Below are 25502 nucleotides of genomic sequence, written 5' to 3' on the forward strand. Positions count from 1 at the left end.
AATTGATTTGTTGAACTAATTCAGTGGCCTTCAGTAGCTTCCTCAAATGCTAATTCTTATCACCTATCTGAGGCAGGAGAGGAAGGTAAACACTTAATTCATGCAATATTAGAACTTTAAAAGTTACTCAGTGTGTTCTGTTGATCATCCTTCAACTTAATGGTAGCTGATACCAAAAAGATCTCATTGGTTTTGTTCTGCAGCAGCCTGGAAAGCCCCAACATTTCTTAGCTTTCACGCATGTTCTAAAAACCCCAACCTTTTTTGACTATTACAGGTTTTTCATGCTGACAACTGTCCCTTTTCACAAATAATTATCAAGGGCTTGAGATACGGAGCTTGAATTGAAAGCGATATTTTTTCTCTCTTCTATTTTAGATACTATACTTTGATTTTTACAAGATCAAAAGGCATCTCTCTGTAAAATCTCTCTGTAAAAAGGCATCTCTCTGTGTCCGTCTCATAATAAATGCTTTGGGTAAATACTCTTCTAATTCTAGTTCTTTCTTATAGAATTATAGAACTGTTTAATTGAGCTGATACTCACCGAGCTTTTGGAGTACTAAATGTGACATGATGAACATAAATGTATTCTGACTTCAAAAACTTCACAATCTTGTTGAGGAGAGCGTTAAGTATACAACTTTTTGCATTGAAAGATAGAATTTTATTACTGCTTTTATTTATATTCATATAAAATAAGAGAAGGTTTAACTTCAACTAGGGTTTAGAGAAATTCTCACATCGGTAGGCTTTAAAGAATCTAAAAGTATTTGAATATATCGGGAAAGCAAATGAAGGCATTCTAAACTGAGGGACCGGAATGAACAGAAGGACAAAAATAGCCAGCTGGGGTCCACATTTGCTAAGCAAAGTGGATTATAAGGAAAGTGAAGCTGAAATGGTAGTTTGGGGCCAGATTTTAAAGGGCCTTGAATGCCATTCTAAGTAATTTATCTGGTCCTGTTGGCACTGGGACACCCTGAGGAGTGACATGATCAGAGTTGCACTTTAGGAAAGATGAAGTTATATAGTGAGGGAGCTCTAGCAGGGAGGAAAGAAAGTGGAGACATTGCTGTATGTTCCTTTTTTGCCCTCATTCAGCATTCAGGTAGATTTGTTATTAAAACATAGAAGGATTGATTGTCAGCCCCTGTACCTGCTAGTTCTGTATTCATGGACTCAAACAACCATGGATCATAAATATTCAGGGAAAAAATTAAAAATAAAAATACAACAAACCAAAAAAATCCAGTATAACTATTTAACTTTTTCACATAGGGATGTCAAATGGAGCCATTGACATCGGTATTTTATGAAAATGGCATTTCAAATCTGAGAAAAATATATATTATTCGATAAATAATAAAGATCAGTTTTCGATTGATGAGAGTGGATTTTCCTTTGTTTTTCATACAGACATACATTCTGGAAAGTTAAAAGACTTGCATGTGAAAACATTCAAAAATCCTAATATTGTAATATGGTTGCAAAATTTTACATTGGGCTGGGAAAGGCCTTTCACGCTGTGTCTGAAACACAGTAAGTCATAAAACAAAAAAGGATAAGTTGACTATGGAAAAATTAGAATTTTCCTACACCAAAAAGCAAACCATAATACTGTATGCAAATTTGAAAGACCAGACATACCTAAACACACACACACACACACACACACACACACACACACGCATGCACAAATACATATACAAACACAAACACAGGAAAATATAGCACTTATAATAAAAAGTTGGATGTTAAAAAAGATAGTCAACAAAATGTTAGCATTTTGTTATTTCTGGAAAGCATATGCTTCGATCTGACATCTTGGACTTCTATTCCCAAAGCTATGGCTTTACAGCGCCGCCATTTTTACCCAGGGGGCAGCGTGACCCCTAATTCAGAGACCGTGGAGCTTTACGAAGTCTGAGGAAATGACTGAGAAAAGGCAAGAGCTCTAAATAGAGTTGTTCTAACTACTGAGGACTTGGGACATTGACGTAAAATCCTTGCATTTCTTTATTTATCTGAAAAATGTAGATAATAATACTAACTTACACCACTAGGTGGTTAGAAAATTAATGCATGTTACTAAACATTTAGTACATTTGAGATCCACATATAAGCATTGTTGTTGAGTGCAGAGAATTGTTACTTCTTTGTAACCTGCTTAAATCAATGCATGATATTTACATCAGCTACTCACTAATTCTGAAACCAAACATTATCAGGTATACTTTAATTAGCTCTTTTATGGAAATGTTTGTGCTGAGTTCAAATCTACATGAACTATTAGCGAATTTTTCATTGTGAGGATACCTTAAAGCAAAAAATATGGATTTTCCACCAATATGTTCCTTTTCCTTTATGTCATTTAAGTATCTTAAGTAGCTGTGCAGCTTGACTACTTCACTTGTACAATATGAAGATGAGCAAACTGAGGGACAAATAAATATCCGAGTAAAATCAGAGGAATATCCTCTAAATCACTTCTCTGATTCTGGACAAAAACAGGCTCTTATCTTTGTAATTGTCTTTAGAAATCATTTAGCTCTGCCCTCATTTCACAAATGAGGAATCTGAATCCAGAGTGGTTAAGTAACTTGCCCCAAGGGCACGGAGCTCCTGTCTCCTAACTCCCAGTCCAGTGCTCTTTTCTTCCAACATACTCAAAGTTCTCAAGTAGCCATAGTGGATATATTGTCTTAGATTTTGTCCAGAATCTTTGTAGATATGTTAGACAGAGACCGTATTTGGATTCATGCTGATAGCTGAGGTGGCACATGGAAGGAATCTGACTTTTTCATCTTTCAAATCTTGCTGGGAATCTTTTGACTTCGTGAAAGGTGAAGTTTGTTTACATTTTTAGTGGATATCAATACTTGGGACCCTGAGCCTTAGATTTAGGTGTTCAAATGGCTACATGATCCCATTAGTGTAAAAAACAATTTAATAATGACTTTGGTAGGCAGTTGTGCTAACAGCATTTCCTCTAGATCATTGATTCCCAAGCGTGACTCATCCAGAACCGCCTAGCAGGCTGTATAAAATCCAGTTGTTGGGGCTGTAACCCTGCAGAGTCTGATTCAGGAGGTCTGGGGCCACGTCCAGAAATCTGTTTTTAAAAAGCACCCTGGATGATTTTCAGGATCATCCAAGTTTTTGGGCCACAGGAATTATGCATACCTTTAAGGAAGTAACCATCTGCTTTCTACTGTTGACTCTTAAGCTGTCAGTAGGTGTAGAATTTAGACACATTGTACAAAAAATTATACTGTATTTTGTAAGTAGGTTTTTTTTTTTTTGCCTTCTAGGCAGTGCTCATTTGGTTAATTATAGGTAGAAAGAGAGATCATTCTTCCCAATATATGTGTGAAGAAATGAATGTTTTGTCTGATATAAATTTGTAGTGTTACAGAGTACTGTCATATTCTTGCATACTCAAGATCAAATTATATTATGGGAGTTTTTTGGTTTTTGTGTATAAAAGAAGGAAGCATTATTACCAGTAACCTATGGGTCTTATATATCAGCCAATGACCACGTCATCCTTTAAGTGCATAAATTTTATGGATGCAAAAGTAGAAGTAAAGGGGAGGCAAATCCGAAGTCGTGAACGTATTTGCAAACTTTGTTTCTGAAATGTATGTTCTAATCTCTTCTGGCTTCCAATTCTCTTCTAAACTTTGTGTCTTCTAAATTTTAGAAGAAATCACAATTTTCACTTATAGTTATCTTGGCCACTTACAACCTTTCAAGCAAAATAGAGGAAATTGGGTCCCTGAGTGGGGGGTGGGGGTGTAGGATGATGTCAAGAAATAAATCTAACTGAATTACAAATACTCAGCAGTAAAGAGAGTATTTTAATGAATCAGATGATAACCATCAGGGTGCATTTCATCTCCACTAAATCTTCGTACCAAGGCCAGATTCTACATGAATGTTGGTACGTATTTATGTAAATGTATTTTTAAAACAAAAGCCAATTGATATCTTATGCTTTAATACTTATTCCACTAATCATTTACATAGATGCATCACGTGCAGTAATCATTTTTATTACCTATTCACAAGCAAAAATATTAGTATAAACTGGGTACAATAAAATAGAGAAAAGAAATATTCAAATAGATAAGCGTTTTGTTAAAAAAAAAAAAAAGAAGAAAGAAAGGACACATTTATCAGGATTCCTATTTCCCGTACATAATATGGATGTTTGTTTGTTTTTGTAAGTTAACGGGACCGGTGGTTTAACTTGTTATTGAAACATGCTCGAAAAAATCAGGTAGCTTATTTTGTAATTGCTTGTTATGAAACCACTGGCATTTCTCTGGGGAAAATAAGTTAAAAACTCTTTAGCTATCAGGCAGTGGGTTTTAATTTTTTATATTGGTTAAATGTAACAGTGGATTTGCGTACTCTCTCCTAATTTCTAACTTTGTGTAATCATTCTTGAAACCCCAAATCTAGATTTTAAAAAAGAAGCCTTCTAAAAGTTTTCCTGAAGTTTACTTTTCAGTTACAAAGAGTAAAATAACTTTCTGAAATGCCTTCTGTAAATCGTGGTGGTGGTGCGGTTTGTTTGGGGAGATTTGTTTTGTTTTTAAAAGACAGTGCACTTTCTTATGAAAGAGACAGGGAAAGTTTTACCTGTCTGTCTCCTGGGTTTGTTTTTTTTTTCTTTCTTTCTTTTTCTTTTAAAGATTGGTGATAAGGAATTCTAACTACTTAATGAGATGGGAGAGGCCTCACTCCATTGGAGTGGAGGAGTCCAGGTGGAAGTTGATGGATTGGACAGGTAAAGAGAAGAGTCCCGCCTCCTCATGCCTATAGTTGGGTATATATTAGGAAACCTTAAATTATGTACAGAGAGAGAAAGAGAGAGAGGGACTTGAGTTCTGTTATCTTCTTAAGTAGATTCATATTGTAAGGGTCTCGGGGTGGGGGGGTTGGCAAAATCCTGGAGCCAGAAGAAAGGACAGCAGCATTGATCAATCTTACAGCTAACATGTTGTACCTGGAAAACAATGCCCAGACTCAATTTAGTGAGGTAAGGATTTTAGATTTTAGCACTCCATTTAGAGATGCTTTTTAATTTTTATTTTTGTAAAAAAACTTACGTATTTGCGGTTCTCGGTCACCCAATGTAATGTTTTGCAAATTGTATATAGGAATCTCCTTTTCTTGGTTAATGTTTTCTGTGGTGGCTGTAAGATTTTTTTTTTTTTATTAAGTAGGAGATGAAACAGTAGGAGAAGATGAAAAAGAAAATCTGGGTGACATTATGTATTTGAAAAAATAATATTCAGGAGTTTATAAAATCACTTTTTAGAAAAACAGACTCAGAGAGCAGATCACACTCTGCTAGATACATTGCAATGAATCCTCTGATGGGTATTCATGTACCAGTAAGAAAAATCAGTTGACTGTGTCTTAACTTCTTAGCATAGTTCTATTTCCAGACTTCATCCTAAAAGCAAATGAAGCTTTTTTCAAAATAATCAGGTGAGATTTTTTAAAGCCATCTTCGTTTTTAAGTCTGTCAATCCAGAGACCCACCTAAATCCAGAAGGGGCTGTGATAACGTTTCTGTCGTCTGGAGGGTGACTTGTACTTTCACGTGTGATGACAAATAAAGTTATTTTGGAGGGATGCATTGTTAAATATTTATACATGCATACATGTAAATGTGTATTATAGCATACAGGATTTTATTTAAGAAACTGATTATTTGCATTTCTGATCTCTTCTCAGCAAGTTTGTCTTAGGTATTTAAACCTGTGCAAAGGGATAAAAAAAAAAATCCTGAAGAGACTGTAAGGCTTTGAGGAAGTTTCCTAAGGTTGAGGGAGGTCTAACAACAATATTAGTTTACATTCCTCAGAATGGGGCAGCTGTGTTGACACTAATCAGATTGGGTTGTGGTGGGGAGTGTTGTGGAGAGAGAGAGTTCGGTGTTTCAGATAAAAATGCTTGCAGGTGAGTGCTTGGAAAAGTGGACTAGAGTACTCAAATTGAGCTCCTTAAAAATCAAAACAAAATGCATAGTATTCCGGTGCAGACCGCAAGAGGAAGAGTAGAGCAGAGGGCTGCGAAGCAGGGCCTGTGCTATCGTATTGACCACGCTATTGTCTAGACTCCTGAACTGTGTAAATACAACAGGGGAAATATCGAGTTATCTAAAGAAGGAAAAGGAAGTGCCTATTTTTCTTTAAAACATTCAAGCAGGCTTGCTTGTCCTCAGTAGAGAAACTTGAGTTTCTTGTTTTGCAGTTATATTGAAAGTTAGCTTAAAATGTTACCAATTTGTTTTTAAATAGGATTAGCTTTTAAGATCTTCTTGATTCTATTGGATCCAATTTTGTCCAGTTTTAATCATTCAGAAAATGATCTGTCCATCATGTCATACCTGAGTTTGTTTGTCTTTATTCATGAACTATTTCACACACAGTATTTATAAGCCGCCTAGGATCTTGTAAGTCAAATGGGAGAAGCAAAAGTCTGTTCATTGATATCTCTAAGTGAAGCACAAGGTTGATGTAAAGTGGCAAGAAATGATTAATTTTAGGTTAAATATAATGTCGTGAAAGAAAGCAATTGCATTAATGTTGTGATTAGAGGATATTTGTAGAAATTATTTCCTTTTATGGAGGCAAAAGAGTCATATTGTATGTGAGAATATGGCATGCTTATGAAAGAAAATAGTTTTATACACAGGTTTTAGTTTTTCACAACTCTAGGTAAATATGTAATCAAGAGCTACAAAAGGCATCCCTTGTCTGTTTTCTATTGGAATGCTGCTAAGGTCGACAAAAAATATCTGTAAAAAACATGGCTGCACTTCCCTACCTTTCTATGTCTTTTTGCATGTTGCCTGCATGACTTTCATATCCTTCCACCAGTGCATGTATTAGGTTATAATTTCATGGCTTGACTTCCATTCTATTACGTACGAACAACTTTCTTTCTGTACAGGATTATGCTTTCATATCTAGTCCTCTGTTAAAATTCAGTGCTACATCTGAGTATATGAAATGCCTGGCACCACATGGCTCTGAGAACCATGAATTTAATATAAAAGTTATAATGTATAGGGATTTATGTTTATTAGTAACTGTCAATACAGAAAAAGCAATCTACTATTATTACACAAGAATTGTTAAACATTGGGTAGATTAAAAATGAAAAAGGCATAAAACTCCCTGTAAGAGTGAAAATTATTTAAAAACTATAATCCATTCTTTGACTTCAAATAAATTTATAGTTTAATTTGCTAGCAATTTCTTTGAGTTGATAACTCAAAAACTATATAAGAACACTGTTCCTTCTCTATTCCTTTTCCCACAACTTTTGAATTCTTCCCCAACCCTTAGCAGATTTGGATTTGGGGGAGCTGCTAATTAACAGGAAATGGTCCGGAAGGGAGGAGAACACAAGCAGGATATAACAGGCAAGGCTGAAGGCTCTACCCTTGGGTACAGCGGAGAGGCCGCAAGCAAGCTCCACTCCCCAGTGCCAGACTAGGAAAGACAGAGCCTCTGGGAATGGTCTCAGACTTGGAGATAGAGAGGGTCAAAATAAAGGAACTTCTTCACAGATCAAGTTTTAACTTCAACTTTCTGGCAAAACAAAACAAAACAAAACTGGGCTGTGTGTGTGGTGTAAGTGTGTATGTGTGTGAGTGGGGAGGATCTCAAACTCCTTCTTAGAAAGAGATATTTACTAAAATTCCTCATCCGGGGTTTTAGATGATGAAGGAAAGACACTTTGGTAAATGGGTTACAGTATTTTCGAACTAAATGGGAAATCAAGGTTCATATATGGAAACACCTCATTTTACAAATCAGGGTTAATGATTTTTCTTTCTGTAGTTGAGAGAGCTATATGTATACGATCGTGTTCCCTTTACTCAGCCACTTTCTTTTTAATACCAAGGAGAGATGGGATGATTCATAGTAGATGCTCCAAAACAGTTTCCATGAAGAACAGTTGTACAAAGCCAGTTGAATGCAAGAAAAAAAGTGTGGAGACAGCAGTGTAAACTCCCTGTAGTCCAGGTCATTCTCACTTAATTGACTTCTTTGTCTGCTTGGTCTAGGGAAAAAAATCTGTCCTGTCCTAGTACTATTTCTACTGACTCAACCATTTAAAAGATATGGGTGTGAGTTTTCTATTGATAGTTAATAAATGTATTAAGCTGTCCCATGTTGTACTTCTGAGCTAGTTAGCATCATAGGAAAAAGCACAGTGGGTGAGAAGCAGAAGCTGCATTTTTAATTAGTGTCAGCCAGGTCGTATTCCTCACTCCATGCTGTTGCCATAGATTGCACTACTTGTTTTACAGTTGGTTGTCCTCGAGCCCAGAGGGAACTAGGAGAAAGACATCTTAGATCACAGATCACAGATCATACCTTCCTTCACTACTACTGGAAAAAAAAAGATTTTGAGACAATAAATCACTTATCCTTTACCTCGATAAGGAAAACCGTGTTTGGTTTGGTTTGCTTTTTAGAAGAGCAGTGATTCTCAACAGCATGTCACACGTACAGCAGAAAGCATCAATGGATGTCTACATTTTCTAGAGCAACCAAAAAAATATTGGTTTCTTTTTCATTATACGTACATTTTCTGAATGCAAAGTTGCTAAAACATTCCTCAATGACTATGGACAGAATTTAGATTCTGCGTTCTGCTATAAAGGGAGTATATATCTAATGTCATGAGATTTTAAAAAGGGATTTGGATCAAACAGTTGAGAAATATGTTACCACAAATACACCCTGGTTTTCTTTGATGTGCATATGATTGCTCTGGGTGGAATCTGAGCTGGTAGAATAGAGGGGCACAGGTAAAAATCCTTCCTTCCTAGTATAACTTTTCTCTCCCCTTGAATATTTTTAAATTTCTAATTGTTTTATGTCAACAAATAGAATGAATACAGGTAACAAAAAGATACTTCTGTGAAAAACAACTTGATGATTTCCATAATTTATAAGTTTTACTATTTTGAAGATAAAAAATTGTTAAACCCAAGTGGGCGCTCAATTTTCTTTAGATGTATGTTGAGGAAAATGTCAGTTGACTAATATAGCATTATTGTCCAGTGCCAATTTAGTGGAACCTACAAATGGTATCCAATAGAGTACTACATTTTGGGTCTGGAAGAGCATGGATTCAAGTGTCAAGGTGAAACATTTGATTCAAAAGTTAAGTTTTAAATCTTATTCCTAATCTTAAGGACACAATTTGTGGGCCCAAGAAAATAGTGAAATGTGGCTTATTAATGGGCCACCACTCTAAACATTTTATAATTTTTACTTATACTTTTTGATTAAGTTCTATGTTGACAATATTCATGAAAAGTAGTATTGAGAAAGAGAAACAGGTTAGAAGAAGAACTGACTGACTCTTAAAAAAATGTTTACTGAGCATCAATTATATGTAAAATGGTATATAGGATCTAAAAATAATTAAGAAATAATTCCTACACTAAGAAGTTTATAGTTCTTTGGGGGAATGAGCTAAGTATGCATGCAATTATAATACAGGAGAGATTTTAAGTGTGTGAGCAAGATAATATAAAGCATCAAAGGGAAAGAGAGTCCATGATGTAGGAAGATCAAGAAAGTCTATATGCATATGTAAGATGAAGCTGCACTTGGAAGGACAGATGGAAATTTCCAAGTTCTAGAAATATAAGAAGGAATGAGGATTTTAGGTGAAGAAATAAGCATCAGCAAAGGGAAGGGGGGTGAGGAGTGAATGCTGGTACACTCAGAAGCATCAAATAGTTCAAATGCAATTGAAATTATGAGACGATCAGGAAATAAAGTTGGAAATGCAAGATAGAGTGGCTCAGAGATGACCATAACACTGAGAGGAGAGTACATTTATCATAGTGACAATGAAAAGCCATGGAAGGATTTCGAACAGAAGAATGGTGTAATTGTGTAATTGGAGCTCTACTAGAGAGCACAGGGAGAATAAATGGCTTTGCTTGAGATTGCCTAGAAGTATGAAAATGCATCTCTCTGCATTGCACATTGGCTGCCTGTTTTGCAGAAATATCTATCAGTTCTCTTGGATCTTTGGAAGGATACGCATGGATTGTTTCTAAAGTCTCATACAACCTGTGTATTTTCTGCCCAGTGCTCTTTTTAATAGCTATGGTCCCTGCCATAGACAAATTGGGAACTACTGGTCTTGGTTTGTCTTTATTTATGCCTGCTATTCTAGCATAATTACTAATAGCACACCTTTTCACTTTCAAAACTGTCCCATTTAGAAGATAAATTATATAGTCACTCTGTAAAGACCCCATTCTTTATTTCATTCTCTTCCACACACTAACACTCCACCCCAAAATGAAAAAGTAGTATAAATTTGGCTGTAAGCCAGACACAATGATTTTGAAGTACCAGCCACAAATCATTTTGATTATTTCCCCCACTAAAGGAAACACTTCCTTCCAACCCAACAGTTACTGAAAACTTATAATAGTCACTGTTATATGCACTGTGAGGAAAGAAGAAATTAGTAATTCACAGCTTCTAGCCTCCGTGAATTCATAATCTGAGGGAGTTATGAGGGGTTCGTAAATGACTCCAGTATAAAACAGAATTGGTAAAAGATATCCCAAGTTTTGAAAGAGTGAAATCGAGTTCAAACTGTTTATGATAAAGGTAATATTTTATATGGTTTGAGAACTGAAATTCAGATGTGGCGTGAGGGGAGGAAAGACATTCTATGTAGAGGGGATAAAATTTATAAAAATACAAGGGAGGACTGTGCCAGACAACGTGAAGGAACATAGTATATTGATTTAAAAAGAAAATGTGTTGGTTTAAACACTGATATGTATTTACTATTTATGTCAAAATGGAACGCTTTTGTAGAAATAGCAACAAAAGTTAATTGGAATATTGATCTCACTAAGAGCGGAAACCTATATGTGTTTTAAAAGTGTGACCAGTGTTCAGAATTCGAGATTCAAAACTTCACATACTCTAGGGATGATGAGTGACATCTTGCAGGAAGGAAAAGAAAATTAGCCCGAATGATTCCTTAGGCTGAAAAGTTGAGGATTACCTTTTCCCGTTCCTTAGACTTCTACAGAGCCAGATATGGTGTCCTATCATTTATAGGGACTTAGTAATGACATTTTAAAACTTATCAAAGCTAGGAACAAAATTCAAACTGACTCTCTGTGTTTATTATGAGTTAATTTTATTTATTAAATAGTCGTCTTAGAAATAGGACCAGAAGTCTTTTCTCTGGTCACTGCTCTAAATGCAAATAGTAATCCTGAAGCTGAATATAAGACATTTATTCAGAATGAGAATCCCAGCTGGGAAATAAATAACAGAGCAGAGGGAAATATGAATATCCCATTTAAAAGCCAACCCCACCAAATAAAAAATTTAAGATATTATCTTTGCCATAAAATTTTTAAATTTGACTTTGGGACAAGGATACATGTGTAAGATGTAATATGTAAAGATAAATATTGGGAGAAGACATGTCTTTTCCCACATCAATATCCTCCCTTTCCACAGCCTCCTTCATCACTTCCATCTCACCCAAGAAGACCACGTGGGCAATTGAAGAGATAATAACAGGGCAGGGGAGGGTAGGCCATGGTGGGAGGAAGGAGTGAACCAGTGACTTGATTTAAAGCCAAAGGGAGTGGATAAGAGAACTGGGCTTCAAGATAAATAAGGAGACATCTAAGCTAGTACTCATTTCTTTCTCTTTTTTTTACCAACCTAATCCTCCACTTTCAAAAAGTAGATTTTGAAAGCATCAAATGTTAACATATGATTGTCCTACAGACATTAGGGGAAACAGTGAGGTTCCACTAAATACAACCTCCTTAAAAGAAATAAGTAGTTCAATGAAGTGTCTGTAAAATCTTTTCAAAAGTCTTACTTTATACTTCCCCACAGTTGATTTCCTTAGTTGGTCTGAGAATATAGCACCTATACTATTCAAAAACTATTCTTTTCCATTTTCTGCAAAAAAAATTATAAATTTCTTATTTCTAAGTTGATTGATTGCATGTTTGATATGGACTAACTTTATTCTGATTTTGAAGTTGTTCAAGCTTCTTTTTCAAAGACAAAGTACAAATGGATCATTGTATGGATTCGAGCTGAGATGGCTTCACCAGATAATGTTCACCTGTCAATTTAAAATTCAGTCACTGGGGTTAAGATAGAGCACATGTTGGTTCTAGGTGAGGGAATAACTGGCAAGAATAAAACATTTTTGGAATGTTAGTGAATGTGTGTGTAACGTAAATTGATATTTCATGCAAAACTTGTAATCTGAATTGCATCTTGTCTGTATTTCTTAAATGGCAAAAAGATTTCCTTATAAAAGCTGAAAGAGGGAATTTTGAGTCAAGCTGTGGTGTGTTGCCAGAGGCGGAAATTTATGAAACACTCTTGTCAGCTATGCTGGAAACACTACAAAAGAAATAGTTCTACTTTCTTATTGGTGCTAAAGCCACTAATAGGTGCAGTTTAGTATAATACCCCTATGAGAATTACCACCCCCGAAGTGAGCTTGCCTTGGAAGGAACTCTGTACAGGCATTTTCTTTTTCCTTTTAAGCTTGCGCAAAACACCCAAAGGGGCCATTTCCCACCCAGCCAGTGATCTTTCTCAAGTTTATTCTTTCTCAGATCACAGAGACAATGGGGAATATGCCCTGTTTACTCAAATCAGTCTGGATTAGTGTCACTCTATTGATGGAGTCAGAATTAAAAGGAAAACCATTACCCTCTCAAAGGGCAACATCAGATGTTTGGGGAATGGCGTGATTACTTTTAAATAGACCGTGTGAGACTCTGTCACCAGACTGAGGTTGAGGACTCCACAAGACACACTTGAAGAGAAACAGTAACACTGGGTGAGGCAGGAAGCTCTTCATAAGCCTTAGGCCTGGGAAATTATTTCAACAGACAATCCCAAAATGCTTGAAAGGCTGAAAATCAGAATGGTGAGACTTCAGAGAAGAGGGCTTTTCTGCCTTCTTTCTTTGCTCCAACACCTCACCCCCATATATTTATCTCCAGGTCAAATCCTTTCCAGTCATTAAGCCCTGCTGGGGAGAAACTTAACCCTGAAAAAGCTCTCAGATTCCCCCATTCAGGATAACACTTCCATCCTCTGAACTCTTTTACTCTGTTTCTTCCTCATTGCTCTCTGTGTACACCAGATCCTTCCTCCCTATCCTTTGACTGAAGACCCTGGGAGGGTAGAGGATGTGTTATGCTTATCTCTGTATCCCCTACAGGGCCACTCAGTAATGTTCCCTGAATGTGATGAGGACATGCATCTGTTGCTGTTGCTTGAAGGGATATCTTCACCTAGGAATATATGGTGTATTGTATATACTTAAAAGGCTGTTTGTAATTGACTTGTGCACAAAAATAAATAAAGCGAGCCGACATATTATACAAGCCTCTTCTATCTATATGTTCTGCAGGTAAACCAAATTGTGTCATTTTCCTTCACATCTTGCAGGTCATTTGTTTTTGCTGTTTGTTTGTTTTAATAAGCCCAATATTATTTCCATTATCTTTTAAATAGCAAGAAAGTTTTTGAAAGACAGGGCAGATGATTTGTTTGGTATCAAGTAATTAGTGTAAAGTATGTGCTGCTTTCACATAATTGATTACTCACAAGGACAGAGAATGTGTTTGATTAAAAAAAAGTCTTAGATTTTTATCTTGCTTTGCAGGCCCTTTTTAAAAGTGTTTACCTGTGTCTGCACTGTTCCCTTGATTCAGTTTATCCCCTGCAGTTCTCTCTGTCCTCACCAGAGATGGGGGAAGTTTGATCTGGGTGAATAAGCTTGATGATTTGCAAACGCTCTCTCCTTTTAATTCTCTATAGTGTTATCACTAAAGGATGTCTGAGAAACCTCAAAGCAATTTTTCTCTTAAACGTGGTATTCCAACTTTTGGTTTTGCTCATATCTTTTATAATAGGACAAATAGAATAAAATGAATAAGACGAGTGTCTTTTCAAAAGTAAGGCATGTCTTCTGCATAGCTCAAAACTTGAGTTTTATTTTGCAGTTAAAGTGACAGCTGAGAGGAACACTCCAATGTTATATAGGTCACCATATCTAATTGCAAAGTAATCACTAAAAACTTTAATTATCTCAAATATAACTTAAAAAGTAGCAATCAGCAAAGAATTTGACAAACAAAAGCAAATTAGAACTCATGAAACAGTGTTCCCCGCTTGAATGCCTATAGTCTAACAAGATTGAGTAGTACACTCCTTGTTTCAAGCCTCAGTTTTCCAGTTGCAAATAAAAACTAGTGTTTCAACCTTTAAGTGTTTGTTATATTGGAGCATAAATTTATATCATTTGCAAGAAAGGATTTATAAGTCTGATAAACTATAATCTCAGTTCCTTAAACATACAATCACAAACTGTTAATTATGGCTTTATTCTAAACTGAATTCTGGCTAACTGGGCATAAAATCATGGAAATTAGGCAGGGAGGGACCAATTTTGTGGCCTATCTACCAGAAACTAAATGTCTTTCTCTAAGCTTGTTTCTGGGTGGTTTCTTTTCAAAGCAACCTGCATTTGGCCATGTGCTCCATCAGTAGGAAGTGAATAATTATATGACCACAAAGATATAGGTTCTTATTGCTGACCTAGGTGCATTCGAAACAAAACCTAGACCATCAGGTTAAAAAACACTGCCTTGGCACAAAAGTGTGTATGTGTTTGTTTTAAGGAAGTAGAAGCTCATTAATAAACTTCCCAGCTAGGTGTGAGCTACCAAGTATTACTCATTGTATTGTGAGTGACAGGACTGGCTATTCTGCTACTAGTTCCCATAAAAGCTGAAGCTAAAAGCACAATTCCCACCTACCAAGACAAAGCTAAACAAAAAGTAAAGATCATAGAGATTATTTAGGGATGCACTATAACATTTGTCTGACAGTAGCATATAAAGAAATGAATCAAATTTGGACACAGACTCAGGATAAAATAAATGATCAGTTGTATTAGAATAAAAGAGATACTTTCTGCAAGTAATTTTCATGTTGAAGTGTTTTGCATTTATTCTTTTAAGAACTGTCTCCTGAGCATCTATTATGTTTCAGCCATTATCCCAGGTATTGGGGATTCAGTACTAAACAGGCCAGATATATTCTCTCATTAACTTATTGCCTAGCAGAGAAGACCAACATTTTTAAAAGTTTATACATATAGTTAATTTCTATTATGATTATATGATACAAATGGAAAGTGCTATGAAAATGTGGAACAAAAGAGAATAATCTGTCTGAACAGTCAAAGAAGACTTCTGGGAGATGACATCTGAGCTAAAGGTTGAACAAGGAATTGGAAAACAGCTGGCATGTGCAAAAGACTTGAAGACTGAAGGAGTTAGCCTTTAAAAAAATGAAGAAAGTTCTATTTGGCCAGAGCAGAGTTTCAAATAGTGCCTCACAGGCCACGTTAAAGACCTGAGGCCTTTATTCTAGGAGAATAGGGAGCTGCTCAAGGAATTTAAGCTTGAGAGTGACAAGATCAGATTTGCAATGCCTTTCAAGTGGTAGTTACAAGGAGTTGGGTCTCTGACCCTTTGCAATTATACCCATTCTAACTAAGAATGGGGAAACTTTTATATCCTGTCTTTAATGAGTAAAAAAAAAAAAAAGAAAAAAAAAGCAAATAAAAGAGGTGCGCTTTTCTTGATTGTAACTTTCAGATAAAAATTCCAGGCAGAAATGTGAGTGATTCCTATTTACATGCAGTCGGAATGAAAGCTACTTAGGAAAGCGGGTTCCGGAGCCAGATTTACTGGTTCGACATCCAGGCTCTTCTCACTACCTTGGGCGAGTTACTTAACCTTGTGGAGCTTCAGTTTCCTCATCTATAAAACATGGATAAAACATGGATATTAATGCCATGTGTCTCATGAGAAATAAGTAAAACCATGCAAAGCACTTGAACACTCTAAGACACATACTTAGAACTCCGTAAGAGAATTAATAATAGTAGAAGTAATTGCTCATTTTCTTTTATAGAGGGGATGGAAGATGGATGATAAGTAGATTTCAGAGTTTTAAAATTTATTTTTATTTTTATTTTTTGCTCCTGATAGTCACCATTACTTTATTGAAACTGATATGTCTTCAGTTTCATGTCATGGTAACGAAAGCTTATTTTCTGTGATAAAATGTTAATCACATTTAATCACCCGTTGTTTTAAGTCACAATTTAGGATATGAACTAGACAAATATACTACCAACATTATTTAAAAAATATTTTTAAACTCACTTTCCAAACCAAGGATGCATTACTGCTGGGCTTCTAAAGGCAGTATGGTATGCTTAACATAAAGATGGCTTAACATTCATTGAAGAATTTTATTACTATGTACTTTCTTCTTTTAATATTACCATATCTGCTATATAGAGCTATGAAAACATATTGATTGCTATAGATTGAAAATCTCTTCAAACATATTTTGATTCACTTGGAATAAACTGAAATTCTGAATATTTCCCCTAATACCAGAATTAAAAATTATTAAATATTAAAATTCTATCCTGCTTTCTGCTTAGTTTGATACTTCTTTGATATAAAATGATAATAATTCCTTCAGAATTGGGATGCCTTCTGATTTTCATTTTGTTGAGTTGTTATGATTATTATAGGAGTATGTACTAAAATAATATAATTTTAAAATTTATTTTTCTTAATTGAGTTCTACACATTTTAATTTAGCTGCATTTGGATCAAGTTTTAATTTTAATACCTTTCCCACTTCCTGTCTTTTCAAATGTTGTGTCAAATGTTTGTTGACATTGTTGTCCACCTGATCAGACAACTTTGTATTTATTTCTCTCACCTGCCGTTGGGGCTTCTAGAGCTCTTTCTCCTAAATTATGGAATCTTGGCACTCAAAGGAATCTTGACACTTTGTGTCAGAACACAGGACATCTAGTGAACTCTCTGCTTACAGTCTTGATAGTTTTGGGTGCGTTTAAATACTTTATTCTTATATTTTGTTCTTTGTATGAGTATATATTAAGTATTCACTTTTTATATAATTTTAGAAAACAAAATGAGTGACATATTTTATACCTAATAAAATCTGGTTTTGAGAAAAATGTGATGCTACATAAATTCTTCGGTTGGAAAGATGGTGTTTTAACTTGACGTTTGAATACCAATATATTTTCTTAACCTGGAGTAGAACACTGTAAGTCAATTGTGTTTAATTCTAGCATAAAAGAAACCATCATTCTCTGAGGTGGGGCAGGTGGCAGAAGACGAAAAAATGACAAGTATGTCTCCCTTAGGCAGTGCTTGTTGAAAAGTCACTATCCTGCTGATATTTGGGGATGGAAATGTAGTACTCTCTGCTAAAGCATAATTGAATGAATGCTTTTAAAGCCAGGGTCATCAAGTAAAGCTGTTTTCTTTACCCATGAGGGACTGTAGAATGTTCATAAAAGCACCTCCGTGAAGCCTCAGGTGAAAGGTGGTTATCAGCTGAGGAAACTGTATGTGCTGCCTAAAATGTTTTAGATTTCTAAGTTTGGTCAGGGACATCTGTATAGAGAGAGAACAGTTACCTTAGAAAACTGTTTTGAATGTGGTCTTATAGCATTGTTTTAACGTAGCTTCACAGATGAGGATGGCCATAAGTCACAGAATGTTAGAACTGGAGATCCCTCTCATTGAATCCTCAAATTCAGTCTCCTCAATTTTACACAGACTTTGGATTATGGTAAACTAAGGTCCACAAGTTGTTCAGCTACCTTGCCCAGAGGTACACAGCACACTAGTGGCAGTGTTGGGACTTAGACTCCATGTAAAGAAGTTTAAGTTCAGAATTCTTTTGCATCACTAGGATCCATACAGGAGTGTAAGGAGTACTGAAGCGTGTTCAATCCCCTAGCCTCATCCACCAGTCACTCATGGATTATAAATACAATTTCTTCCAAGTGAAATTTGGGAATACTGTTGTATCTTGTAACAAAGGTCTGGTTGAATCGAGATAAGTTATGATTATATATCCCAACAGTAATCTCTTCTACCCCTGATTTGGTCCCTATCCCATTTTTTTAATAACCTCTTACTATATATTGTTGACTATTGTTGCTATAGTGTCATAAATTTACTATTATAGATAGTAATATCTGAAAAAGGGGACATTTTAAAAAATTCTCTTGGCCAGGTGTGGTGTCTCACACCTTTAATCCCAACACTTTGGGAGGCTGAGGCAGGTGGATCACCTGAGGTCGGGAGTTTGAGACCAGCCCGACCAACATGGAGAAACCACATCTCTACTAAAAATACAAAATCAGCCGGGCATGGTGGCACCTGCCTGTAATCCTAGCTACTCAGGAGGCTGAGGGAGGAGAATCTCTTGAACCTGGGAGGCAGAGGTTGTGGTGACCCAAGATCGTGCCATTGCACTCCAGCCTGGGCAACAAGAGTGAAACTCCATCTCAAAGAAAAAAAATTATCTTTTACAGATAAATTGGTGGAGAGAGATTTTCAAAAACACAAATTATAGGTAAATACCTATTTCTATTGCATTGGTCAAATAGCTTCATTGGAATCTCTTTTTGATGTTAAATACTTTTATAGGAAAATAATTACGTCATCAACTTTAAGTAAATATAAATCCAATTATTTAATATTGAGTTATAGCAATATATATTGACACAGTTTTGTTTCTTCATGGTGAAAACAGTTTGAGATTCAGCTCCTGGGTATCTTTATACCTACCATGCAAGCTGTATGTTTCAGAATGCCCTCAGGGTGTTCTATGATTGCAGGGAATATGTCGAGTCCATGTGACCAAGGCGTACTTCATCCTTTCTGTGATCAGATCAGCTAGTTTGTGAGGAACCTGAATATATCACAACTACAAATAAATTTTCCAGGGTCCAAACAGTGATTCTTCTATTTCAAAGTTATTTTATAGAAAATGAAGCATCTGTTTGGAATCACAGGAAATTATTTTACTTTATAAGTTTCACAGTAGATATCACAGAAGTTGTGTTCATTTTTGCCTTTATGTTTTGTGGAAAGAATACTGCCTCTTTTTTCAGACATGCTGAGATAGATATATAATGTTTCCATTCACTCATTATTTGGGTGTCTGCAGGGTATGTTAAGGTTATTCCAAAATCAAGATGCCTTGTGTTTAGAAAGGGAGAACCTGCTTCCTATTTCATTTCAGATACGCCAATAACTTTTGTTACCTAAGAAATACATGCATATGGGACATGGGGGCTCTATGGAGTTCTTCCAAAGGCCGTTTTTATGGCTGATCTGAAAGTATAGTGTTCTAATCTCTGAGACTGACTCTTTGACTTGTCATTGTCAGTAAGCATTGCATTAACATCCCAGCATATTACACATTTCTCTCCTCTGTTATGGAATTATTGGCTGTAAATAAGGCAAGAGGTACTGCTCCCTTTACCCCGCCAGATTTGCTGTGATAGAAAATAAGGGATAGATATTATTCACTTGACCTGGGACAGCTTCATGGGCATAAAAACTGCAATTGGTCACACAGGGCCCTATCTTAGAAAAGCACCATTCTTTGTTTAATGCTTTGCTATCATCATTTTGAAATTCTTAATCTATGAACAAGAGGTTCTGCATTTTCATCTTGCACTGAGCACTACAAATTGTACAAATTGTTTTGCTGGACCTGTCTGGGTGACACTTGTTCTTCTTGACTATAATGGCCAGCCCTTGGCTTCCAATTGTACCCTGTTAACACACGCGATCTTTCTTTAAATCAAAGGAATAAGTGAATAAGAATATTTTCTTTAAACTAGATATTTTAAAAATTAACTTCTGAAGAATGAATTTATTGATTTTTAATAAACTAAGAAAATATGTAAATGGATTTCCAGTCATTCAGTTCTGACTTTGGTGGGTTTGTTGTTGTTTCTGTTCATTTTAAGCTAACATTCAAAGTTAGTAGTGTCAGTTTTACGCTTTCCAGGAAAAGACAACGGAGTATACTACTTGGCTTATATTTCTGTAAAGTATCACTTGAGAAGCGTTTCAACTGAAATGTGTTTTCCCACTTTGATTGTGTGTAGTAGGCTGATTTCTCATCAATCCTAAGAAATATACCTTTATGTTATATTAATTGAGGATTTAGCATTGGTAACAAATCTTGTTTTTCTTACGTACAAAATCTCCCTTGGGACTGGATATAATTTAAAACTATGACGCCTAAAAGTAGATCCATCAGTACCCACATTGCTATTCATGACTTTTGAAATACAGTTTCTGCTTCTTTGTTGCTTCTCAATGGTTCAGTCTTTCTATCATTCCAAAGGACTCTTGTGACTCCTCAGTAAATGGAATTTTCCCTTTCTTTTCCTTAATATCCATAAAATCAGTTTACTCAAGAAATTATATAGCAGTATACAGCCTAAACCCTTTCTCAAAATTGTCACTAGCTTTTCTTATTCATTAAAACATTTTCATCTCATTACAAATGATTTCTTCCTTTAAAATTTCCCAGAAAGTATGGCCTCTGTATTTTCTGCTGCTCAGTTTAAACACATCATCAAAGACAGATAATTATTAATGTCATATGAGCATAACAGGAGATTTATAAATCAGAAATGTATTTTCTGGGAACCAACTTTCAAGTTAGTCAGGTAAGTTTTATTAACTTCACTGGTGAAGTCCTAGGATAAAGCAGTGCCTAGATCAGGCTTGTTTACCCTTGGCCTTATATGGCACCAAACACTGTTTCAGGACAGTGGAAGAACAGCCTGGGAGGCCTTCGGCCTTGGCCAGCCTTGCCGAGGCCCGCTCACCAGGAGAAATAGGAAGGAAGGCCAGTGAGTGTGCAAAGGAGCATGGCTTATTTTGAGGTCCTGAAGGCCAGTGAGTGTGCAAAGGAGCATGGCTTATTTTGAGGTCCTGCTGATTGCAGGCCAACAAAACAATGGCAGGATTTGAAGGAAGAAAGTATTGCAACAGAGTCACCGTATACTTTGAACTGCAAAGGGAGACTGAGGAAATGTTGCCTCAAGGCCAAAAACCCTGGCTCAAAACACAGGTTCCTCAGGTGACTCAGAGGCAGACCAAGTTCACCAAGTCAAGGACATTTTCCTGCTACCCCCCTGGGGAGAGGGGCCTTCACCAAACCACCCTGGACATGGATCTCCTGCTGTTCAGAACCCACCCAATAAACAACAGAAGCAAACACTTTTTTTTTTTTTTTTTTTTTTTTTTTGCCCCTTACACGGAATTGTCCCTTTTTGTAAGTCCTTGTTGAATTGAAGAGTGTTTGCTCACTGGCTTTTAAAGTGTGGTCCCAAAACTTTTTTCTTCGTTTATATTGGGTTAAAAAAAAAATCAAGGGGCCCATGCGTCTTTGTTCTCATCCAAGCCCACAATTAGTTAGCTGGGGTTCCTTCTGTGTAGCTAGAAGCAGGAGGGAAGGGGGTGGCCCAGCAGGCATTTTACTGCCTGCGAGAAAGTGCTGTGAGTTTCTTTGTCCTTTTTGTCAGGGACGGCTGCCTCCCTAATTGTACTGCTGTAGGGAGGCACGTGCCTTTGGGAGCATTATCTGATTCCTACAGGACGTTCAAGAGTGCTTTGTATACTGACCCTTAACTTGAACACAAAGAATATCTTTTCAATCCCCTTCCGAGGCTGTTGCCTCAGGCTTGGATACCTAAGAGCTTTAGTTCAGCCGGGGTATGGACCATTTATATGGGCTCAGGTTTTATTTTTTTGTCCCCTAGTTGTCTTACCTGCAGTTTGGCCACACCTGCCGGGAGAGAAAGCTGAAGATGGTGGGTAAGTGGTGGATAGCAGCTATAGAAGTCAGAAGGGAGAGAAAGCGAGACAAACAGCTGCTCTTGTCAGCATGGGGATAAGTGTAAAGAGATTAATAGTTATTTGAAGAGCAAATGGGGACATGGCATTCGGCAGTGGAATGCGAATGCATGAATGTAATGGAATGAGCATGTGACTATTAACATTTAGACAAATGCTTCCTGGACTGAATGGAATGGCAAAGCCCACTTCTCCTCCCCCTGTGGAAAAAAAAAAGTTCAATAAAATAATTAAAAGTTTGAAATTTTTAAAAAGATAAGCCTAGCTCCTATTTCTTTGTAAGTTTGTTCTTCTCTATAGTTTTACTTAATCTGGGACTCTCAGTTACATTTCAACTGAAGAGCTAGGCCTATTTCCTTTATAAAATATGTACGAATAGGACTGCCTTAATCTTGCTTTTGATTTTTTTTTCTCATTCATTAGGTTGATGAAACAAGATTTCTATGTGTCGGAAGGTTTTACAAAGGAAAAGCAACTGTACCATAAGCTGGTTGCCCCTTTGTTCATTTTGGCTCAGGTTTAGAAATGATGATAGGCTGATTTGCCTACTCAGGCTGACAGTTTTGATGGCATGGACAGAGCCCTGAAGTCAGAACCAGAAGATTCAGCACCGAAAGCCCCAGTCATTGTGTTAGCGGATGCTAGGGCAAATGCTCTACCTCTCCGATAGTAATATAGTCAAGTTTTTTGTAGAGTAAATGAGGCAAAATTAATTTATTCTTTCATAAATATGTTCTTGAGTACTTTTACTCTGTGCTTGGGCCCATTCACATAGAAGACATAAAAACGTTTGGCAGAAGGAAATACATGAGCTAATGTATTTTTGAATTATATTGACCATAGAATTTTCTTCATAAGTAGTTGGTATTTCTCTTACAAATGTTCTACTCTAGAAAAGAATAAATTTCTATTAAGAAAATGAAAGAACAAATAAAAAAGAATTAGACCAGTTTGGATGATTTACTAGCATGTTACTTTTTAAAATACATAGTTGGGTGTCCCTAACCCCGCTACCCATGATCCTCCAGTCTTTGTGAAACCAGTCCTTAGGGGGCTGGGTGGTACACTCTTGGTACTCTGGGACAGAATGCAGAATTGCAAGATTAAGAGAAAATTCGAAGGTCATTTGATTTTGCCCCCTATGCAACAATTTAACACTTAAATCCCCTCTGGAACATACCTATCAAGTGGTCTTTCTCATTTTGTGTAACACGCCCCAACCCCCACCAACAACCTCAAAATGGAATAGCAGGCAGTATTTATTTAAAGACTTCCTAAGCAGCTACTGAGCACTGGGAACGTTTTGCCTAGTTTGTGAATAAGCATATACTCTACTTTCAAATGCTCTGTAGGAAGTCAGTCTCCAGAGGTGGCACATAGAGCTGAGTGATCTGGAAAAGCCGTTACAAACACACACATGCTCAGACTTCTCTTGTTTTCTCTGTTTACCAAAAATCAACGGTTTTACTTTGAATGTGAAGTGCTTCCGACGTGAGGTCCATCTCTGTAGAATGCATTCACCCATGGATGCCTTTTTTTGGAGCAATGATCCGTGGCTTCAGCGGCTAATATTGGGGTTTCTGGGTGTCCTTGCAGCCACAGTACACGAACCTGGGGCTCCTGAACAGCATGGACCAGCAGATTCAGAACGGCTCCTCGTCCACCAGTCCCTATAACACAGACCACGCGCAGAACAGCGTCACGGCGCCCTCGCCCTACGCACAGCCCAGCTCCACCTTCGATGCTCTCTCTCCATCACCCGCCATCCCCTCCAACACCGACTACCCAGGCCCGCACAGTTTCGACGTGTCCTTCCAGCAGTCGAGCACCGCCAAGTCGGCCACCTGGACGGTAAGAGCAGCGGGCACGCACATACCTGACCCCCCAAGTCCAAGGATGGGCTTCACCACGTCCCAGGGATTTCTCCCCCTTCCCAGTTTAGCGATTCCATGTTCATGGTGGAAAATTTGTCTTTGAATATTTAATACTGAACCAGAGAGAGAGAAAGTGCCAGTTAGTGGGAAAAGTCCCAATTTAGGAACCAAACGTCTGCGTTCTAGCCAGCTCCTGGCAACTTCAGTCAGTGTGTTCCTGCCTGCTTCACACTGTTGTATGTGAAAGTTCATGGCAAGGTAAAGAGCGCTGTGCCAACAAGAAGTATCATAATCATGGGATATGTGTTTACAGTCTCCAGAACGTGAACGTGTTTACCAGTCTCATTCTTGTAAAGAAGTAAGTGTCACATTAAGTTGTGATTTTAAAAACTGAGTAAAATAATAAATATAGTGTTATAAAAATTAAGAAAATAAAATCCCATTTATGAAGGAAGGATGAATATGTTTATACATGTAGGTATCAATAAATTATAATTTATCAGTAAATTGTATAATGTCTTATAAATTACTATTTATAATTTATCAGTGAATTATAATTTATTGATATGTATATATTTATTTAATTTGGAAACATTCTTTTCGAAAAGAAAGCCTTTAAATAGACATATCAGAGCCCTGAATTAGTCCAAAGAAATTGTTAAAGAAAAATCTTTCTGCATATAAGTTTTCTAAGGAAGCATGGAATTTTCTTTTCATAAATTAGGAAGATACAAGAATTAGTCCAAAGAAATTGTTTTAAAAAATCTTTCTGTATATAACTTTTCTAAGGAAGCATGGAATTTTCTTTTTCATAACTAGATCCAAGAATATTTTATTTTGAAGTGTATTTTGAAATGTATTATAACAAGAATAAAGCTCAAGTATAAAAGAGGACACCTACAAAGTTGGTTTTAACTGGTTGATCAAAGAATGTTCAAGACCAAAGTGGTATGTTTGTCAAACAACTTAATCAAGACCAAAGTGGTATGTTTGTCAAACAACTTAATGTTTACATGGATTATAGAAATGCTTCCAAATATCATCATCTTAATAAAAAGTAGCTTTAGAATTGTTTTGACAGTTTTTTCCCTCTTTGACAAATGGATTTCTTTGGAAAGCATTTCTATGTTTATGTTATATATAGTATCTAGTTCATTCCAGCCTTTAGTTTGTATAGTTTATAAAATGATCGGCATGCCTAAGACCTATTACACTCTAACATCATTTCACATCCATTTCCTCTTTTTCACCTCATTTCTTTGTGAAGTACCCAGGACAAGTTTTATAACTTCCACTGTGCTAGTGAGGAAAGCTGAAGAAGTTGGAGGTTAAGTTAAGAGGCATGCCTAAACTTACAGAAACTTGTGTGTAGCTGGGCCTGTTTTTCATTTCTGCTTCCCTCTCACTGGATTGTATCCTTTCTTTCAACCATTTTATATCAGGATCTCCCAAAATTGTCTAAAAATTAATGTTATTTTAGTTCTTTCCTCTTGTGGTTTGAGAAGTAATTCTCCGGTGGCTCATATTTCAACTGTAGAGCATGAACATCAGCTTAAAACTTGATCTCTCCTCCACGTGTTACTTATCAATGGAGTCATAATCCTTAGTTTCCTTTACTTTTATAATTCTGGAGGCGATGGATACTGCAGGTGAGTAAACTTAGAGTTTATAGGCTTCAAATAGTTGGTTGATTGATCTAAGTAGTATCTTGCTAAAGAGCCACTAGAATAACCATTTTATAAATG

At 36.5% G+C, this 25502-nt stretch overlaps 1 protein-coding gene across 13 annotated transcripts in view, besides 12 other annotated features; it reads left to right on the top strand.

Moving 5' to 3' along the window:
• TP63 (tumor protein p63) overlaps positions 1 to 25502 on the top strand; it is a 300531-nt gene that overhangs the window by 188047 nt on the left and 86982 nt on the right. For 6 of the 13 annotated variants that reach the window (NM_001329964.2, NM_003722.5, NM_001114978.2 and 3 more), the window contains exon 4: positions 23480 to 23734. In NM_001329964.2, coding sequence (NP_001316893.1) covers positions 23480 to 23734 — 255 coding nt within the window. Of the gene's footprint in view, positions 1 to 4866; positions 5051 to 23479; positions 23735 to 25502 lie in introns of those variants that run through there. The other 7 variants (NM_001114980.2, NM_001114981.2, NM_001329145.2 and 4 more) reach the window with 2 other exon arrangements.
• Positions 1821 to 5003: a promoter, noted in NCBI's record as "-3043 to +139 promoter fragment". NCBI's record gives the evidence for it as "EXISTENCE:reporter gene assay evidence [ECO:0000049][PMID:16931914]".
• Positions 1821 to 5009: a biological region, named in NCBI's record as "DeltaNp63 promoter of tumor protein p63". NCBI's record gives its function as "regulatory_interactions: TP63".
• Positions 3924 to 5009: a promoter, noted in NCBI's record as "-823 to +262 promoter fragment". NCBI's record gives the evidence for it as "EXISTENCE:reporter gene assay evidence [ECO:0000049][PMID:16516862, PMID:18198175]".
• Positions 4185 to 4214: a protein binding site, noted in NCBI's record as "STAT3-RE". NCBI's record gives its function as "positive regulation of promoter activity" and the evidence as "EXISTENCE:protein binding evidence [ECO:0000024][PMID:18198175]".
• Positions 4252 to 4274: an enhancer, noted in NCBI's record as "p53/p63 RE". NCBI's record gives its function as "mediates induction by Tp53 when multimerized" and the evidence as "EXISTENCE:reporter gene assay evidence [ECO:0000049][PMID:14576823]".
• Positions 4252 to 4274: a protein binding site, noted in NCBI's record as "p53/p63 RE". NCBI's record gives the evidence for it as "EXISTENCE:protein binding evidence [ECO:0000024][PMID:14576823]".
• Positions 4252 to 4274: a protein binding site, noted in NCBI's record as "p53/p63 RE". NCBI's record gives the evidence for it as "EXISTENCE:protein binding evidence [ECO:0000024][PMID:14576823]".
• Positions 4696 to 4908: a conserved region, noted in NCBI's record as "conserved_region; -170 to +45 region". NCBI's record gives the evidence for it as "COORDINATES:sequence alignment evidence [ECO:0000200][PMID:16645595]".
• Positions 4715 to 4745: a protein binding site, noted in NCBI's record as "probe C for Oct6 site". NCBI's record gives the evidence for it as "EXISTENCE:protein binding evidence [ECO:0000024][PMID:16645595]".
• Positions 4785 to 4824: an enhancer, noted in NCBI's record as "-83 to -44 fragment". NCBI's record gives the evidence for it as "EXISTENCE:reporter gene assay evidence [ECO:0000049][PMID:27681615]".
• Positions 14637 to 14706: a silencer, noted in NCBI's record as "silent region_14997". NCBI's record gives its function as "represses an Ori minimal core promoter by ATAC-STARR-seq in GM12878 lymphoblastoid cells {active_cell/tissue: GM12878}" and the evidence as "EXISTENCE:reporter gene assay evidence [ECO:0000049][PMID:35858748]".
• Positions 23648 to 24194: an enhancer, noted in NCBI's record as "H3K4me1 hESC enhancer chr3:189526229-189526775 (GRCh37/hg19 assembly coordinates)". NCBI's record gives its function as "activates a minimal SCP1, AML or CMV promoter by ChIP-STARR-seq in primed H9 embryonic stem cells {active_cell/tissue: H9 hESC(primed)}" and the evidence as "EXISTENCE:reporter gene assay evidence [ECO:0000049][PMID:30033119]".

The sequence above is a fragment of the Homo sapiens genome, chromosome 3 (genome assembly GCF_000001405.40).
Source record: "Homo sapiens chromosome 3, GRCh38.p14 Primary Assembly".
In the NCBI taxonomy this organism is placed as follows: domain Eukaryota; kingdom Metazoa; phylum Chordata; class Mammalia; order Primates; family Hominidae; genus Homo; species Homo sapiens.